At 41.2% G+C, this 18,545-nt stretch overlaps 3 long non-coding RNA genes across 4 annotated transcripts in view; 1 reads left to right on the plus strand and 2 right to left on the minus strand.

Annotated features, from left to right (window-relative positions):
* LINC01320 (long intergenic non-protein coding RNA 1320) overlaps nt 1–18,545 on the plus strand; it is a 45,007-nt gene that overhangs the window by 14,359 nt on the left and 12,103 nt on the right. The window lies entirely within an intron of this gene.
* On the minus strand, nt 1,951–8,571 carry LOC107985865 (uncharacterized). Its single transcript, XR_001739399.2, has 3 exons — nt 8,361–8,571; nt 2,285–2,383; nt 1,951–2,191 (listed from the first exon to the last, which is right to left on the minus strand). It is a non-coding gene; the product is annotated as an uncharacterized LOC107985865 (long non-coding RNA).
* The window catches only part of LOC105374458 (uncharacterized), a 33,938-nt gene continuing 27,007 nt past the window's right edge, over nt 11,615–18,545 (minus strand). For both annotated transcript variants that reach the window (XR_007086277.1, XR_002959378.2), the window contains exons 4-6: nt 13,829–13,935; nt 13,182–13,431; nt 11,615–11,699 (exon numbers count right to left, since the gene is read on the minus strand). This is a non-coding gene — a long non-coding RNA (uncharacterized LOC105374458). The remainder of the gene's footprint in view (nt 11,700–13,181; nt 13,432–13,828; nt 13,936–18,545) is intronic.

The following is an 18,545-nucleotide window of genomic DNA, read 5'->3' on the forward strand; positions in this document are numbered from 1 at the left end:
CTGCATAGTATCCCATAGTGTATATTTACCGAATATTCTTTATCCAATCTAAGCGAACTTAAATCAACAAGCAAATAAAACAAATAACCTCATTAAAAATGAGCAAAGGACATAAACAGATGCTTCTCAAAAGAAGACATACAGATGACCAAAAAACATATGAAAAATGCTCAGCATCACTAATCATCAGAGAAATTCAAACCAAAACCACAATGAGATACCATCTCGCACTAGTCAGAATGGCTATTTTTTTTTTAGCTTATTTATTTATTTTTTTTGAGATGGAGTCTGGCTCTGTTGCCCAGGCTGTAGTGCAGTTGCAGGATCTCCACTCACTGCAACCTCCACCTCCCTGGTTCAAGCAATTCCCCTGCCTCAGCCTCCCGAGTAGCTGGGATTACAGGCTCATGCCACCACGTCCGGCTAATTTTTTTGTATTTTTAGTAGAGATGGGGTTTCACCGTGTTGGCCAGACTGGTCTGGAGCTCCTGATCTCAGGCAATCCACCCACCTTGGCCTCCCAAAGTGCTGGGATTACAGGCGTGAGCCACCGCGCCAGGCCCAGAATGGCTGTTATTAAAAAGGCAAAAAAGAACAGGTGCTGGTGAGGCTTCAGAGAAAAGGGAATGCTTATACAATGTTGATGGGAATGTAAATTAGTCCAACCACTGTGAAAAGCAGTCTCAGAGATTTCTTGAATAACTTAGAACAGAGCTACCATTCAACCAAGCAATCTCTTTACCGGGTATTTACCCAAAATAAAATAAATCATTCTACCAAGAAGACACATGCAGTTGTATGTTCATCACGGTGCTATTCACAATGGCAAAGACATGAAATCAACCTAGGTGCCCATTAATGGCAAAAATATTTTTTTTTTTTTTTTTGAGACGGAGTCTCGCTCTGTCACCCAGGCTGGAGTGCAGTGTTGCGATCTCAGCTCACTGCCAGCTCCACCTCCTGGGTTGGTCCCAGGATGGTCTTGATCTCCTGACCTCGTGATCTGCCCGCCTCGGCCTCCGAAAGTGCTGGGACTACAGGCGTGAGCCACCGCACGCGGCCCAGGCAAAAAGATATTTTGAACATTGGATACAATTCATTCATCCTAAGAATAGTAATAGGTAGATATATAAGATAAATAAACACAGAGCAAATAAAGGCTTTCATGGAATATTCCCACTTTGTAAACTCTAAGAAAATTGTCCTTAAAAGACTTTCAGGGCCACTCCTTTCCTAAAGTGTCATTACATGCAATCATGTAATAATCAGGGGATGGTTAGCTCATGGGCTGTCATCTCCTCAGGTCCGTTACTTTGAGGTAAAAGGAATGAAAAAGGATTTAAAATATTACTTAGTAACCTACACGGATTGAATTCAGGCTGTCAGTTAAGTGGATCATGTTTGAAAACACATTTTGATTTTAAAATAAAACGAGTTGAGAATGGGCAATGAACTAAATGAAGCAAGATAAATCAATTCCTAACTCAGCAACTTCAGGCATCAGCATGGGAAGTGTTTTTAGGCTGAAGTTTTCTTGGTCTCTTATAAATCACACCAGACAGGCCTATGGGTGAGGTAAACTGTATTATGAGAATATCTAAAAACACTACTTCAATGCAATACTAATTTCAAAACAAAATGAACCCCTCCACTAGATATATAATTAATGAGGAATGTTTAGGAATTGCTCAACAATTTGTTTACCATCTCATTTTTTTCCCACCAAGGATATTTAAGAAGAAATAAGGTGGGAATCTGATTAACTTAAAAATAAATTTTATTGTGTGTATTTTAAGATCTACAACATGATGTTATCAGATACATGTATTTAGTTAACATGGTTACTATTGTGGAACAAATTAACATATCCATCACCTCTCGCAGTTATCCATTTTTTTCCCCCGTGGTAAAAGCAGGTATTATCTTTTGTTGCTGTCATCTGCAGTGCTTTTCAGGAACCAAGAATTAGGTTAAAATACACCTAGTGTTTGTAATTAATCTCTAGTGACTACAGACCTATAAAAAGTTGTTCTGCTTATTTTTCATCTTCAGTAAATTGCTAAGGGATCCTGCAGGTTGGTGCTTTATGAGGGAATTTTGGCTAACCAAGCCATATAAATATATTTTCCATTACATTCTTCTCAATTTCCAATCGCTTTAAGATTATTATAACTTAGTTTTAAAAGTCAACCTGTGAAGATCGATTAGGTAAAACTCAAATTAGTCACTTTGGAGGTTTCTGGTAGAAACACAAATGATGTTTGGTGATATCTTTAGTACATACCAGTTCCTACTGCACCATGCCATGGGAATGATATTCAAGAGTGGTGACATGACTGAGGTAGTAAATCCTTTATCATCATGACTGAGAGGATGCAGAAATCTGTGCGGAAGAAAAGAGATTGTGAGCTTTTTGAAGCAGTGACAATATATGATATGAATCTCCATATTCATAATTTGCATATAGAAGCTGCTCAATGAATATTTAAGTTAAAAAAAAAATACAGTCCTTCATGGTAAGGAATTTCATCCCAGTCTCTGCCAACAAGAAGAACTCTTCTGTAATGGGCCATGGGGCAGGCCAGGCCCTCCTTGGCTCTGTGGCTCTGGACTGGGCAGCAGCAACTCTCATCCCTGTGTGGAGCCATCATATCCCCTGTGAACTGCATGTACACATCCAGATGGCCAGTTCCTGCCTTAACTGATGACATTACCTTGTGAAATTCCTTTTCCTGACTCATCCTGGCTCAAAACCTCCCCGACTGAGTACCTTGTGACCCCCAACCCTGCCCGCCTGAGAACATCCCCCTTTAACTGTAATTTTCCTTTACTTACCCAAACCCTATAAAACAGCTCCATCCCTATCTCCCTTCGCTGACTCTCTTTTCGGACTCAGCCCGCCTGCACCCAGGTGATTAAAAAGCTTTATTGCTCACACAAAGCCTGTTTGGTGGTCTCTTCACACGGACGCAAGTGAAATTTGGTGCCTCCCTGCCAATTGTGTCTGACCCCTTCTCTCTGTATCTCTACCCCTTCTCTACTTTTCTGGAGGGCAAGAATCCCCTGACCCCTTCTCTTCGTGTCTCTACCCCTTCTGCACTTTTCTGGAGGGCAAGAACCCCCCAACCCCTTCTCTCCGTGTCTCTACTCTCTTTTCTCTGGGCTTGCCTCCTTCACTATGGGCAAGCTTCTGCCCTCCATTCCCCCTTCTTCTCCCTTAGCCTGTGTTCTTAAAAACCTAAAACCTCTTCAATTCACACCTGACCTAAAACCTAAATGCCTTATTTTCTTCCGCAATGCCGCTTGACCCCAATACAAATTTGACAGTGGTTCCAAATAGCCAGAAAATGGCACTTTCAATTTCTACATCCTACAATATCTAAATAATTCTTATCGTAAAATAGGCAAACAGTCTGAGGTGCCTGATGTCCAGGCATTCTTTGACACCTCGGTCCCTCCCTAGTCTCTGTCCCCAATGCGATTTGTCCCAAATCCTCCTTCTTTCCCTCTCGCCTGTCCCCTCAGTCCCAACCCCAAGTGTTGCTGAGTCTTTCTAATCTTCCTTTTCTACAGACCCATCTGACCTCTCCCCTCATCACCAGGTCAAGCTAGGTCCCAACTCTTCCTCAGCCTCCGCTCCTCCACCCTATAATCCTTTTATCACCTCCCCTCCTCACACCCGGTCCGGCTTACAGTTTTCTTCCTGCACCTGCCCAGCAATGTCCTCTTAAAAAGTGGCTGCAGCCAAAGGCATAGTCAAGGTTGATGCTCCTTTTTCTTTATCCAACCTCTCCCAAATCAGTTAGCGTTTAGACTCTTTCATCAAATATGAAAAACCCAGCCCAGTTCACGGCCCCTTTGGCAGCAACCCTGAGACGCTTTACAGCCCTAGACCCTGAAAGGTCAAAAGGCCGTCTTATTCTCAATATACATTTTATTTTATTACCCAATCTGCACCCAACATTAAATAAAGCTAGAAAAATTAAATTCCAGCCCTCAAACCCCACAACAGGACTTAACTAACCTCACCTTCAAGGTGTACAATAACAGAATAGAGGCAGCCAAGTAGCAACATATTTCTGAGTTGCAATTCCTTACCTCCACTGTGAGAGAAACCTCAACCACATCTCCAGCACACAAGGACTTCTTCCAAACACCTAAACCACAGTGGCCAGGCGTTCCTCCAGGCCTGCCTCCCCCAAGAGCTTGCTACAAGTGCCAGAAATCTGACCACCGGGCCAAGGAATGCCGGCAGCCCAGGATTCCTCCTAAGCCGTGTCCCATCTGTGCGGGACCCCACTGGAAATTGGACTATCAAACTCACCCGGCAGCCACTCCCAGAGCCCCTGGAACTCTGGCCCAAGGCTCTCTGGCTCTTTCCCAGATCTTCTTCGCTTAGTGGCTGAAGACTGACGCTGCCTGATCGCCTCAGAATCTTCTTAGACCATCACAGATGCTTTAAGTAACTCTCACAGTAGAAGGTAAGTCCGTCCCCTTCTTAATCAATACTGAGGCTACCCACTCCACATTACCTTCTTTTCAAGGGCTTGTTTCCTTTGCCTCCATAACTGTTGTCGGTATTGACGGCCAGGCTTCTAAACCTCTTAAAACTCCCCAACTGTGGTGCCAACTTGCACAGCATTCTTTTATGCACTCCTTTTTAGTTATCCCCACCTGCCCAGTTCCCTTATTAGGTCAAGACATTTTAACTAATTATCTGCTTCCCTGACTATTCCTAGGCTACAGCCACACCTCGTTGCCGCCTTTTCCCCCAGTTCAAAGCCGCCTTCACATCCTGCCCTTGCATCTCCCCACCTTAACCCAGAAGTATAAGATACCTCTACTCCCTCCTTGGCGACTGATCATGTACCCCTTACCATCCCATTAAAACCTAATCACTCATACCCCACTCAATGTCAATATCCCATCCCGCAGCATGCCTTAAAAAGATTAAAGCCTGTTTGTCTTCTTATAATAAGAAGAAAAATAAAATGACATAGTGGTAAAGTGTTGGGATGGCAAAAATTTTTTGGGGTGGTATGGAGAAATAATGGGCGATGTTTCTCAGGGCTGCTTCAAGAGGGATTAGGGGTGGCACGGGAACCTAGAGTGGGAGGGATTAAGCAGAAGGAAGATTTTGTGGTAAGGGGGGATATTGTGGGGTTGTTAGAAGAAACATTTGTTGTGTAGAATTATTGATGATGGCCTGGATACAGTTTTGTATGAATCGAAAAGCTAAACGGAGTAAGAGAAGGAGAAAAACAGGTATTAAAGGACTAAGAATTGGGAGGACCTAGGACATCTAATTAGAGAGTGTCCAAGGGGCTTCAGTGTAATTACTTGCTTGGCTGGCAAGTTTTTAGACTCTATCCTTGAGTTTTTTATGTTGTCACACACCAGGCCAGATTGATTTAGGTAAAAACAACACTCTTCATTTAAGAATACACAGAGTCCTCCATTTCCAGCAGTGAGTAAGTCAAGGCCTCAGCGGTTTTGGAGGACAACTGCAGCTAAAGAGTCAACTTGGGCCTGGAGGACTGAAAAAGTTTGTGATATGTCTGTGATGCTAGGAGAGAAGTCATTAGAGAGGCTACGGAAGGTCGTGAAAGAGGTTGAAATGCCTGCTATTCCAGTACCAAGAGCAATAGTGGAGGCAGAAAGTCTTAAACTGACAAGCAAGGGAATTAGTGGAATAACTTTTTTGTCGTGTTGGTGTCATGAGGGGAAGAAGGAGCTCTTCAGTCCTATTTGCAAATTGAATTTTGGGAGTAAGGAAAACTAGTGTGCATGTGCCTGTCCAATTAGCAGGTATACAGAAGTATGTAGAGGATCCACAGAGGAAGAAGAGACCTTGTGCGAGGCAAAACTGGAGATGCAAAGTAAAAAGATGAGAAGGAGTGCTGCAAAGGAGTGTCCTGTACCTAGACTCCTAGGGATCCAGCTAGGGCGGCAGCCGTCAGAGGTTGTAATGGGGACTGATGAGGTAACTGCGAAGAGGGGGAGATTCAATTTTCATGGTGTGTGAAAAAACGTTGAGTACCTACGAGCAACCTTTCACTGTTATTTTCAGGGCTGGGTATAAGTAAACAAGAAGAGGGCTTTGGAGATGAACAGTAAAGGAACGTCGAGCAGGTGAAAGTTACCTAGGGGGATTGCAGTGGGTCTTTGCCTAGAGATACATAAAGGAGCGGCCACAGGAATAGTAATTTGTGTTGTGAGAGGTCCAAATATGGGGGGAGTAGAGTTGATATAAGGAGAAAGGTTTTTGAAGTAAGTGTGGAATAGGGTGGCAGCTTGCTGATGTGAAATGTCTGGGGAGGTCTTGCTGGACCTGTCTAGAAAGTAAATAAGTTCTTCAGGAGGGTAAAGGTGAGGGCTGTTAAAGGAAGTTCAGAGGTGTAAGGAGACAGGAGATATTGCCCAGTCTGTGTTTAAGGTGGAGACAGCTGTGTAGGCACTGGAAGAAAGGGAAATGCAAAGCCAGCAGTTGTTCGCTAAGGAGAGATTAGAAATGGCTAGGAGAGAATGAGTAAGGTTGATAGTGTGGTGGAGATGGCTGGGGAGAAGTAGAGGGTGGCTAAAGAATGGGAATGAGAATAAGAGTGACTCTAAAAGTAAAGAATAGAACTTCATCAGGATGAAATTATTGGAGGGTCCCCTGCCAGCAAAGATCATCTATCCACTCTAAGAGGGAATTAAGAGTTGCCAGTCCTGGGCATGGGCAAATCCTCAAGCTTAATGTGTAGGAAAGGGAGCAGGTCCGAATAATCCCTGAGGAGTAGTAGAATAGCAGATGGAACACTGAGAAGTTATTTCCTTGAGGATAGATTTCCATGATGGAAAGGAAATGAGAGGTTCTGAGAGGTGGGCTGGTGGCTTGTACTATAGCATAGCCTGCCTTTGCTGGTGTGTGGCGATTAGGCCTGGTGGAACTGCGATCAATAAACCAAGCGTGTTCAGGGTGAGGAACAGGAAAGAAGGAAATATGGGGAAATGGGGTGAATGTCAGGTGGATCAGAGAGATACCGTCATGGGAGTCAGGTGTGGTACCCGGAATATTGTGGGAGGCTGGATTGAAGTCCGGGCCAGGAACAATGGTAATTGTGGGAGACTCAACAAAGAGTGAGTACAGCTGAAGGAGCCGGGGAGCAGAAAGTATATGTGTCAGGTGTGAAGAAGAAAATAGATTTTGGAAGTTAGGAGAACTGTAGAGAGTGAGTTGAGCATAGTTCGTGATTTTTTGGGCCTCTAAAAGTATTAAAGCAGCGGCAGCCACTCTATGCAGACATGAGGGCTAGGCTAAAACAGTAAGGTCCAGTTGTTTGGACAGAAGGGCTACAGGGTGCGGTCCCAGCTCTTGTGTAACAATTCTGACCGCACTAACCATGCCTAGGAAGGAAAGGAGTTGTTTTGTAGAAGGGATTGGATTTTGGGAGATTAGTCCGACATGATCAGCAGGGAGAGCACGTGTTTTTATGAGAATTATGCCAAGATAGATAACAGATGAAGAGGAAATTTGGGCTTGACTGAAGTAATAGGAGCTGTCTGTGAAGACTTGCAGCTAATTTGCTGAGCCTGATGGGTGTCAGGGACAGTCCAAGTGAAAGCAAAGAGAGGCTGGGATGAAGGGTGCAAAGGAATAGTAAAGAAAGCATGTTTGAGATCCAGAACAGAATAATGGGTTGTGGAGGGAGGTATTGAGGCTAGGAGAGTATATGGGTTTGGCACCATGGGGTGGGTAGGCAAAACAATTTGGTTGATAAGGCGCAGATCCTGAACTAACCTGTAAGCCTTGTCTGGTTTTAGGACAGGTAAAATGGGGGAATTGTAAGGGGAGTTTATAGGCTTTAAAAGGCCATGCTGTAGCAGGCGAGTGATAACAGGCTTTAATCCTTTTAAGGCATGCTGTGGGATGGGATATTGGCATTGAGCGGGATAAGAGTGATTAGGTTTTAATGGGATGGTAAGGGGTGCATGATCGGTCACCAAGGAGGGAGTAGAGGTGTCTTATACTTGTGGGTTAAGGTGGGGAGATACAAGGTGAGGATGTGAAGGAGGCTTTGAACTGGGGGAAAAGGTGGCAACGAGGTGTGGTTGTGGCTCAGGAATAGTCAGGGAAGCAGATAACTTAGTTAAAGTGTCTTGGCCTAATAAGGGAACTGGGCAGGTGGGGATAACTAAAAAGGAGTGCTTAAAAGAGTATTGGCTAAGTTGGCACCAGAGTTGGGGAGTTTTAAGAGGTTTAGAAGCCTGGCCATCAATACCCACAACAGTTATGAAGGCAAGGGAAACAGGCCCTTGAAAAGAATGTAATGTGGAGTGGTTAGCCTCCATAGAGATTAAGAAGGGGATGGACTTACCCACCACTGTGAGAGTTACCCGAAGCTCAGCATCCAAGATGGTTTAGGGGGCTTCCAAGGTGATCGGGCAGTGTCAGTCTTCAGACTCTAAACTGAGAAGATCTGGGAAGGAGTCAGTTAGAGAGTCTTGGGCCAGATTTCCAGGGGCTCTGTCAGTGGCTGCCAGGTGAGTTGAACAGTCTGATTTTCCATGGGGTCCCACACACCCCCAGAAAAGTGGTACTTGCTGCTAAGGTTGAAGGACCAAGGCAGGCATCCCCATGTGGTCAGACACCTCTGAAACGTGGGTGAGTAATCAGGCAGGCGTCCCCGCGTGATTAAACACCAAGGGAAGAATGTCTTCCTGAGTCTGTGACTGGCATCAGAGTTTTGGGTCCACGGATGAAACGCATCTCCTTCATCTCTACCAGAAAAGGAAAGGAACTGAAATTAAGAGAAAGGAGAGATTGAAGTGTGGCGCCAAGATTGAAAGGAGAAAGAGGTTGAGGGATAGCAAGAGAGGTTGGAGAAGAGAGTAAAAAGAGGCTGCTTACCGGATTTAAAATTGGTGAGATGTTCCTTGGGCTGTTTGGTCTGAGGACCAGAGGTCGTACGTGGATCTTTCTCATGGAACAAAGAGCAGGAGGACAGGGGATTGATCTCCTAAGGGAGGTTCCCCGATCCGAGTCACGGCACCAAATTTCACTCGTGGCCATGTGAAGAGACCACCAAACAGGCTTTCTGTGATCAACAAGGCTGTTAATTTCACCTGGGTGCAGGCAGGATGAGTCCAAAAAGAGAGTCAGTGAAGGGAGATAGGGGTGGGGCCGTTTTTATAAGATTTGGGTAGGTAAAGGAAAATTATAGTGAAAGGAGGGTTGTTCTCTGCCAGGCAGGAGTGGGGGTCACAAGGTGCTCAGTAGGGGAGCTTCTGAGCCACGATGAGCCAGGAGAAGGAATTTCACAAGATAATGTCATCGCTTAAGGCAGGAACAGTCCATTTTCACTTCTTTTGTGGTGGAATGTCATCATTTAAGGCAGGAACCGACCATCTGGATGTGTACGTGCAGGTCACAGGGGATATGATGGCTTAGCTTGGGCTCAGAGGCCTGACACTGTTATCACTCTCCTGCTACAGCATGGTCTTTTAAAGCATATAAACTCTCCTTACAATTCCCCCTTTTTACCTGTCCTAAAGCCAGACAAGCCTTACAGGTTAGTTCAGGATCTGCGCCTTATCAACCGAATTGTTTTGCCTATCCACCCCATGGTGGTGCCAAACCCATGTACTCTCCTATCCTCAATACCTCCCTCCACAACCCATTATTCTGCTCTAGATCTCAAACATGCTTTCTTTACTATTCCTTTGCACCCTTCATCCCAGCCTCTCTTCACTTTCACTTGGACTGACCCTGACACCCATCAGGCTCAGCAAATTACCTGGGCTGTACTGCCGCAAGGCTTCACAGACAGCTCCCATTACTTCAGTCAAGCCCAAATTTCATCCTCATCTGTTACCTATCTCGGCATAATTCTCATAAAAACACACGTGCTCTCCCTGCTGATTGTGTCCCGCTAATCTCCCAAACCTCAATCCCTTCTACAAAACAGCAACTCCTTTCCTTCCTAGGCATGGTTAATGCAGTCAGAATTCTTACACAAGAGCCAGGACCACGCCCTGTAGCCTTTCTGTCCAAACAACTTGACCTTACTATTTTAGCCTAGCCCTCATGTCTGCATGCAGCGGCTGCCACTGCTTTAATACTTTTAGAAGCCCCAAAAATCACAAACTATGCTCAACTTACTCTCTACAGTTCTCCTAACTTCCAAAATCTATTTTCTTCCTCACACCTGACGCATATACTTTCTGCTCCCCGGCTCCTTCAGCTGTACTCACTCTTTGTTGAGTCTCCCACAATTACCATTGTTCCTGGCCCAGACTTCAATCCGGCCTCCCACATTATTCCTGATACCACACCTGAACCTCATGACTGTATCTCTCTGATCCACCTGACATTCACCCCATTTCCCCATATTTCCTTCTTTCCTGTTCCTCACCCTGATCACACTTGGTTTACTGATGGCAGTTCCACCAGGCCTAATCACCACACACTAGCAAAGGCAGGCTATGCTATAGTACAAGCCACTAGCCTGCCTCTTAGAACCTCTCATTTCCTTTCCATCGTGGAAATCTATCCTCAAAGAAATCACTTCTCAATGTTCCATCTGCTATTCTACTACCCCTCAAGGATTGCTCAGGCCCCCTCCCTTTCCTACACATCAAGCTCGAGGATTTGCCCCCGCCCAGGACTGGCAAACTGTGAAATTCCTTTTCCTGGCTCATCCTGGCTCAAAAGCTCCCCCACTGAGAACCTTGTGACCCCACCCCTCCCCACCAGAGAACATCCCCCTTTGACTGTAATTTTCCTTTACCTACCCAAATCCTATAAATCGGCCCCACCCCTATCTCCCTTCGCTGACTCACTTTTCAGACTCAGCTCGCCTGCACCCAGGTGATTAAAAAGCTTTATTGCTCACACAAAGCCTGTTTGGTGGTCTCTTCTCACCAACGCGAGTGAAATACTGGAATAGTGAATGAAACATGTTAGTGAGATGGTCTGAGGAAACCAGAATAATATACTTACTTGAGGGAATCTTTTCATTTTTTTCTTTAAAAAATACGATTAAAAAATGATGTGGAACAACAAAAGGCCGTTTTTGTCCACACCTTTCACTGATGTGATTTCCAAAGCTCCCCCGTCTCCCAAAGGCCTCCACTGATCTGATCATGGTCCTCCATACCACATCACTTTTTAGAAGCCTCAATTACAGTGTAGATCTCATGTGGAATGGTTAGGGTATAAGCCTAATATAATCTATATTTTAAATGTAGGTAAATAACGAGGCTTTCAGGGAAAGGGACATTACAAGGCAACTGACGGGTATGCAGGGGGCAGAGTGAGGAAGGGATATCTCAGAAATAGGCATAGATATTAAAGGAATCACAAGGGGACTGGGAGGAACCAGGAGTGTCAAGAGCCTGGGAGCCTGGTGAAAGAGAAAGGGAACATTGAAGGGGAAAGGGAGAAATCCCTGATAATAAAACATTTTGTTTACATACTCACTTTGCTTAGAGAAATGTACGTTCCTAAGGTAGATTTTAGATTTTTCAAAAGCTATTCTCTCTCTGAAGCTGAACTGTCTGAGGTATTATTTCAAATCTTGGCATTAGTCCCAATCACCGTGGATATACAGATACTATGTGTTCTGGCTCTAGATAATGAAGTCAAGTTTGTCTCTTCTGTAAACATGTATCCTGAATTTTCAAATATCTTTCAAAAGACTGGGCAGCAACAAAGCCTGTAATGAATACATAAATGTATGCATACATAATTAATTTCTGAACATGCAAACAATAAATAAAGTTCCAAAATATTTTGGAACACAGTTGTACTTTGCAACTGGTTAGCAGAAATTATTTTAGTTTCAAAGAAGTCTTAATGTTTTATTTCAGAAATGAAAGTGAGAAGCTTCCCAGTCAACGCTATCCCTTTTAAACCTGAAGTGTTAGAAGGCAAGCAGAAATTTGTCTAAGTTCACAGATGTCTCCAGTCATCTACAGTAGATGTCACTAAGCATTTTCTAATATTTGCGTAGATGCTACTCATTCACTATTTGCTGAATTTTAGAAGGAAAAATTGACCTGTAACCAAAAATCAAGTAAAATAATCTGCATTGACACTAGAAGAAAATAATCGCTTTTCTTAAAATATAAAGAATTATTATCGTGAGGCTTTGTTTACTTTGTTAAAATTTATTTAACATATTTCTTATGCATGTTAATATTTTGAAAGATGTCAATTAATTTTTACATGTTTCACAACATTACTGTTAAACTTTCAGCTCATTTAAATATGCCAAAAGTTATGATATTAGAACATAACAAATTTTGTTTGCTCTAAAGGAAAAGGGCTTATATTTACCTAAAACTTCCCATTTAGTATTTATATAAAAACTTCTTAGCATAGTATTTTCCTGTGGTGTTTCCTCAATAAAGTTTTGTTAGATAAATAAGGTTAAGTCACATGTCACATAAAATATTATTTTCAGAGGCTAGAAGCACTGTGTATTGAAGGTATAGTTTTTATGGCTTTTAAATAAAATGAGGAACTTCTGTAAGTACCTGTTTTGAAAATCGTTTCATTTCAAAACGAAAACCTAAAAGTTATTTGAAATTGTATTCCAAACAAACCAATGGCAGAGGCAATGGCACCAAGAGGTAGCTCTTTCATAAAGTAATAACACTATAATTCTTCAATCTCTATTAAATCTTTTTTTTTTGAGACAGAGTCTGGCTCTGTCGCCCAGGCTGGAGTGCAGTGGTGTAATCTTGGCTCACTGCAAGCTCCGCCTCCCAGGCTCAGGCCATTCTCCTGCCTCAGCCTCCCGAGTAGCTGGGACTACAGGCGCCTGCAACCACGCCCGGCTAATTTTTTGTATTTTTAGTAGAGACGGAGTTTTTTAGTAGAGACGGGGTTTCACTGTGTTAGCCAGGACGGTCTCGATTTCCTGACCTCGTGATCCGCCCGCCTCGGCCTCCCAAAGTGCTGGGATTACAGGCGTGAGCCACCGCGCCTGGCCTATTAAATCCTCTTTAAGGTGGAATATGTGAGTATGTGTGTATAGTATGTCTGTTAAGTAAGGAATGAGGTGTGGCTAAGTCCAGCGTTGGTAAGTAACACAGAATATATAATAGATATTCTAATTTTAATATATAATATGGAATAACAACCAAGATAAAGACAACATTTGAGAAAAATAATTTTAAGCAATTATCCTTACCACTAAATTAAAGTCTGAATGTTTATTCAAGCAAATGTTTTGAAGATTGCCTAAATGTCTGCATTTCAGGAACCAACATTTTTCTTCTCTTCTTTAAATTTATCTTTGAATTAAACCGTATTTATTATTATTGAAGAATAAAACAGATGAATGATTGAATTAGTGAATATTATTATAAAATATGAGAAAATCAAGGCCTTCTTTCAGAATTCTCATCTCTTGAGAAGTTCATAAAACAGCAGCAGTGGTTCTGTTAATGAAAATAAAATTGCTGTGAATTAAAACACACCTTGAAAACCTCCAGCTTTTAGTTGAGATAGAATTACCCATGACAAAGTAAAAAATTTGGTTCACAGATTCTAGCATTTAGCATCAGTGATAAAAAGTAATGAATGTAGTCCAAGTACTGAAGTCTCCCCCTGGAAATTTCTCCTTCCCCTTTTCCTTCCTCCTCCTTCTCTTCCTCCTTTTTCTCCTCCTTCTCTTCCTCCTTTCTCCTCCTTTTCCTCATCCTCCTTCCCGTTTCTTTTATTGCCATTAAGATAAAAAATGATTAACAGAGTCTCTAGCAGAGTCAATTTTACGATAATCAGTAACATATTAACAGAAGAATTTTTTTAATCTCAAAAGCATTTACAAATATTTACCAATATCCTGCTGTGAGGTCACCTTGTTGCTGAACTGAAACCACCTCTAGTGAAACACAAGAGCGATTTAGTAGAAACTCAAGCTTTTTTGGTGTTTAGTTCTGCAGCTGAAAGACAGAACCGTAGATTTTCAATTTTGCTCTGAAAGAGTTAAAGCAGAATTTTTCTTAGTTCCAAATGTAGTTTGTATTGTATTTGAAGCTCCTTTAAGGCTTGTGGCTATTCAGAAATTTCTCTGTGCATTAATTCAAATGTTTACACAGTTGGTAGTAAGGCTCATTCTCCTGTTATAGTGGTTTACAGCAATTTTACCTTCACTGTTGCCTGGACACTTGGCAGGGTGGCTTCATGGGTTTTAACCTATGCAGTTACACAGGGCCCCATGCCCAGAAAGGCCTCGTGCTTAGTTTAATGCTGTAATGTCACCATCTTGAAATTTTTATATTTTTAAACGAAAGACTCCATGCCTTTATTTTGCACTGGGTCCTACAAATGATGCAATGAGTAGAGGCACCTTTTAAAAAGTACAGTAAGACTTCAAGGGTCTGGATGATCCCCAGAGACACAAGTACAAAATCTCTAGTGTTTGAGTACATGTGCCCATTTTGACAAGACAAACAGGGATTATATATACAGCCAGGCTTCTTCAGAGTGGTGTGTCACAATTCACTGAATGAAAGGTAGAGTGATTAAAGTGATCTTTAATAGAAATGTGTAATTTCCTATGATACCAAAAGTTAAGTATCTTTAGAGTCTGTGAGCTAAATGATATTACGTTCTGCTGGGAGAGTGCAATGATCTTATAGGCAAATAAAGGGAAAGAAGCCAGTATTACATGTAGCCACTATATCCTGAACATATTCCTGTCCAAACAATGACCCACCATACACTGAGGACATTGAAGGCAGAATTACTATGAAGATAATACTGATAGTACTACTTATATTTATAAAAAACCATACAGATTTTCTCACAATAATGATACTATTTGAGGTTTTCAATAACTCCATTAGATTCAGAGAAACTAAGTGAGTTATCAAAGCTCATGTAATGAGTAAGTTAGGATAAACTTCAGACAAGTGTCTTTTAAATCAATATTCAGAGCCCTTTTTACCTCTATGTTCCATTTGTTGGAAGTAGTTGAGCCTCTTAGAAGAGGTGTCCCCATAATGTGGTTTTATTGAAGTAGATGAAGTAACCTTTGGTTACCAGTGAGGATCTTAATACTAAAGAATCCTATATCAGGACCATCTTTATTATATGTTTAAATGTTTAAAATTATGTTGAAATCCTAAAACATATTTAAATATGTTTAAATAGTTCAGATATTTAAATCCTAATCCCCAAGATGATGGTATTAGGAGGTATGGTGTTTTGGAGGTGATTAGGTGATTAGGTTCTTGGCAGAGCCCTCATGAATGAAATTAGTGTCCTTATATAAGAGGCTACAATAGACTTCTAGTCCCTTTAGCCATGTGAGAACACAGCAAGAAGGCACCATTTATGAACAAGCAAGTAGGCCCTTAGCAGACAAAGAATCAGCCACCACCTTCATCTTGGACTTCTCATCCTCTAGAAGCATAAGAAAAAAATTTCTATTGTTTATAAGCTACCTTGTTTATGGCATTTTATTATAGCAGCCTAGATGGACTATTTTGTTGGTGGGGAAAGGGAATAGGGTGCCAAAAATGCTGTAGAAGAGAAGGGCAGAAGGGAGAGATGTGGAAAGGAAACCACTGAATTTTAGAATTAAAAGAAAACCCTTTATGTTCTTTCATTTTGTTCATATACACCTCTTTCCCAATCCAACCTGCTGAAAAAGTCCTCTTAATAGCCACTGGAAGGATGAATTTTTACCTTAACATTTACACCTGAGTCCTTCCTGTCAAAATACCACATGCCATTCCATTGTTGAAGAGCTCTAATTGCTTAAAAGGTCTGGCTCAGTTAAGCCAAAATTTGATTCCATGTAAATTTGAATAAAATACAGTCTCTGCTCTCAACTCTAAAGAGGAATACAGCCATAAACGCATAATGCCAATACACATGCAATAAAAACTATAATACAGAAGTCCACACAAACTGTTTAGAAAATAAGAGTTGGCAGAGCACATTCTTGGGATTGCTGGAGAGTTCTACACAGTGCTTGCTTTTTGCCATGGTCTGTGAAGAATGGCAAGTTATTCAGACAGAAAGGAAGCAGCATGGAAGTTTTCTGATTGCTGATCAACCTGATTTTTAAAAATGTTTTAATATTCTATTACATTGCTGCTGCTTCTTTTTGGATGAAATAACTCACTCAAATAATTTTTAGATATTGTGTGTAGCATCCGCATCTGACCAAAAGAAAAGAAAAAAGAATATTCATTCTTTTCTTTGCCCCAGGATATTGTTAGGCTTTGTGTCCCCACCCAAATCTCATCTTGGATTATAATCCCCATAATCCCTATGTGTCAAGGGAGAGACCAGGGAGAGGTAATAGGATCATGGGGGCAGTTTCCCCCATGCTATTCTCGTGATAGTGAGTGAGTTCTCATGACATCTGATGGTTTTATAAGAGGCTTTTCCCACTTTGCTTGGCACTTCTCATTCCTGCCACCTTGTGAAGAATGTGCCTTTCTTCCCCTTTGCCTTCTGCCATGATTGTAAGTTTCCTGAGGCCTCCTCAGCCATGCTTAACTGTGAGTCAGTTAAACCTCTTTCCTTTGTAAATTACCCAGACTTGAGCAGTTCTTCATAGCAGTGTGAAAATGGACTAATACACCCTTTGTATGACTCTTCCTCAATTCTTCACTGTCCTTATTAATGTGGACCACAAAAATTTAAATCCACTTCACAGGTGTGGTCTGCCCATTGCAACAACAAAGAGACTTCATTCCCTGTGGTTAGGGCATTTTCTCAAATATTAGTTTGGGGCCAGTGGCAACATTCTTTTCTTGACTTATGTGAAACCTGTATTTTGACAAATGCTGTATATAACCAATGTTCTACACTAAATTCTTGGACATCAAAGAGAAGGCTTTTATGATCGTTTCTAATTTGGTCTCTTGTTTTGACCTAAATAAATGAATGTTGATTTTGTTGCCTACTAAATTAGCTTTTCCTCCAGCTGCTTCACTTACAAGTTTGAAAAATCTGCTTTAATGCTTTTAAATTTGGGAAAAAAAATACACCCAAATACCCCAGATATCAGTTAAAAACCTTAAACAGAGCTACATGGCATTCCAGCAGCAGCTTACCCAGGTTTCAACAGAACTGAATAAGAAAACTGCTTCAAAGCATCTTGTTTTTTATCTTGTATAGAAATTCGCATGATATCCTGTGTCTTGGTGTTAATACAGTGTATCTACTGCTACCTAAGAGCCTCTTAGCCATTTCATCCAATAGATGAATGAGTCAAGTTTGTCATTATCTACTGTAGTTGAGTTCAACTATATTATAAAAATTTCCATATACTTAAGAAAATCCATTCATGTTCTTTGATTATTTAGAGTTTTGCTAGAATAGTCTCTCCTCCCCTGACTGTAATTTTCTCAAATGACATCTTTTCTCTACTCATTTTGAAAAATCAGAACATTTGCTTAATCTTCCATTTCTGAGCTCATTCTTTCTCCCCCATTTTTAAAATTGTTCAGACTATGATACTACATTTGCAGTCTCTTCAGTATCTTTTTATGTGCTTCTTCCTGACACGCTCACTGGAAATCTTAATTTTATTGTTTGAGGTCTCAAATACATTTCTATAATAAAGATTATTTTTCTGACTCTAGAAGAATGAACTAAAATAGGATTTCAGTTGGAGTATTTTCCCTTTAGGTTGTTGACTTTCTATTTCTTTTTTGTATCATGGACATAATTTTAACAAATATATATGTGTATATATATGTATAGACAGATAGATGATTAGACAGATACAGATATAGATATGGTTTGGCTGTGTCCCCACCCAAATCTCATCTTGAATTATACCTCCCATAATTTCCATGTGTTGTGGGGGGGACCTAGTGGGGGATAATTGAATCATAAGGGCAGTTTCCCCCATACTGTTCTCATGGTAGTGAAAAAGTCTCACAAGATCTGATGGTTATATAAGGGGAAACTCCTTTCACTTGGTCTTCATTCTCTCTTGCTTGTTGCCATGTAAGAGGTGGCTTTTGGCTTCCACCATGATTTTGAGGCCTCTCCAGCCACGTGGAACTGTGAGTCCATCAAACCTCTTTTTCTTTATAAATCACCCAGTCTCAGGTATATCTTATCAGCAATGTGAAATGGACTACAACATATATATATATGTGTGTGTATATATATATGTATGTGTGTACATATATATGTAATGCATATATACATATATACTCTGTTGGCACGTTCTTGAGACTTCAACTCATTATTTGATACTTTTCCTAATTCTCTCTTAATCATGCCATCTTTTAATATTCATTTGTGATTATATATTTCTTTCCATCTTAAAAATGTTTTGTGAATTTGAGATTTTCAGTTATAGTGGGCAGTTTAATAGTTCTGTAGTTGCTAATCACTGATTGCATATTTAGAATTTTTTTGAATCTCTAATTTCTCAAAAGTCATACCCAGAGGGAAGTCCCAGATTTTCTAGGACCTGAAACTTATACAATTGGAGAGAAGGGGTCTTTTTTTTTTTTTTTTTTAAGAAAACCACATAAAACACCTCATTTTTTAAAAAATTTTACAGGACTGTGAA

The sequence above is a fragment of the Homo sapiens genome, chromosome 2, assembly GCF_000001405.40.
Source record: "Homo sapiens chromosome 2, GRCh38.p14 Primary Assembly".
NCBI classification, from domain to species: Eukaryota; Metazoa; Chordata; class Mammalia; order Primates; family Hominidae; genus Homo; species Homo sapiens.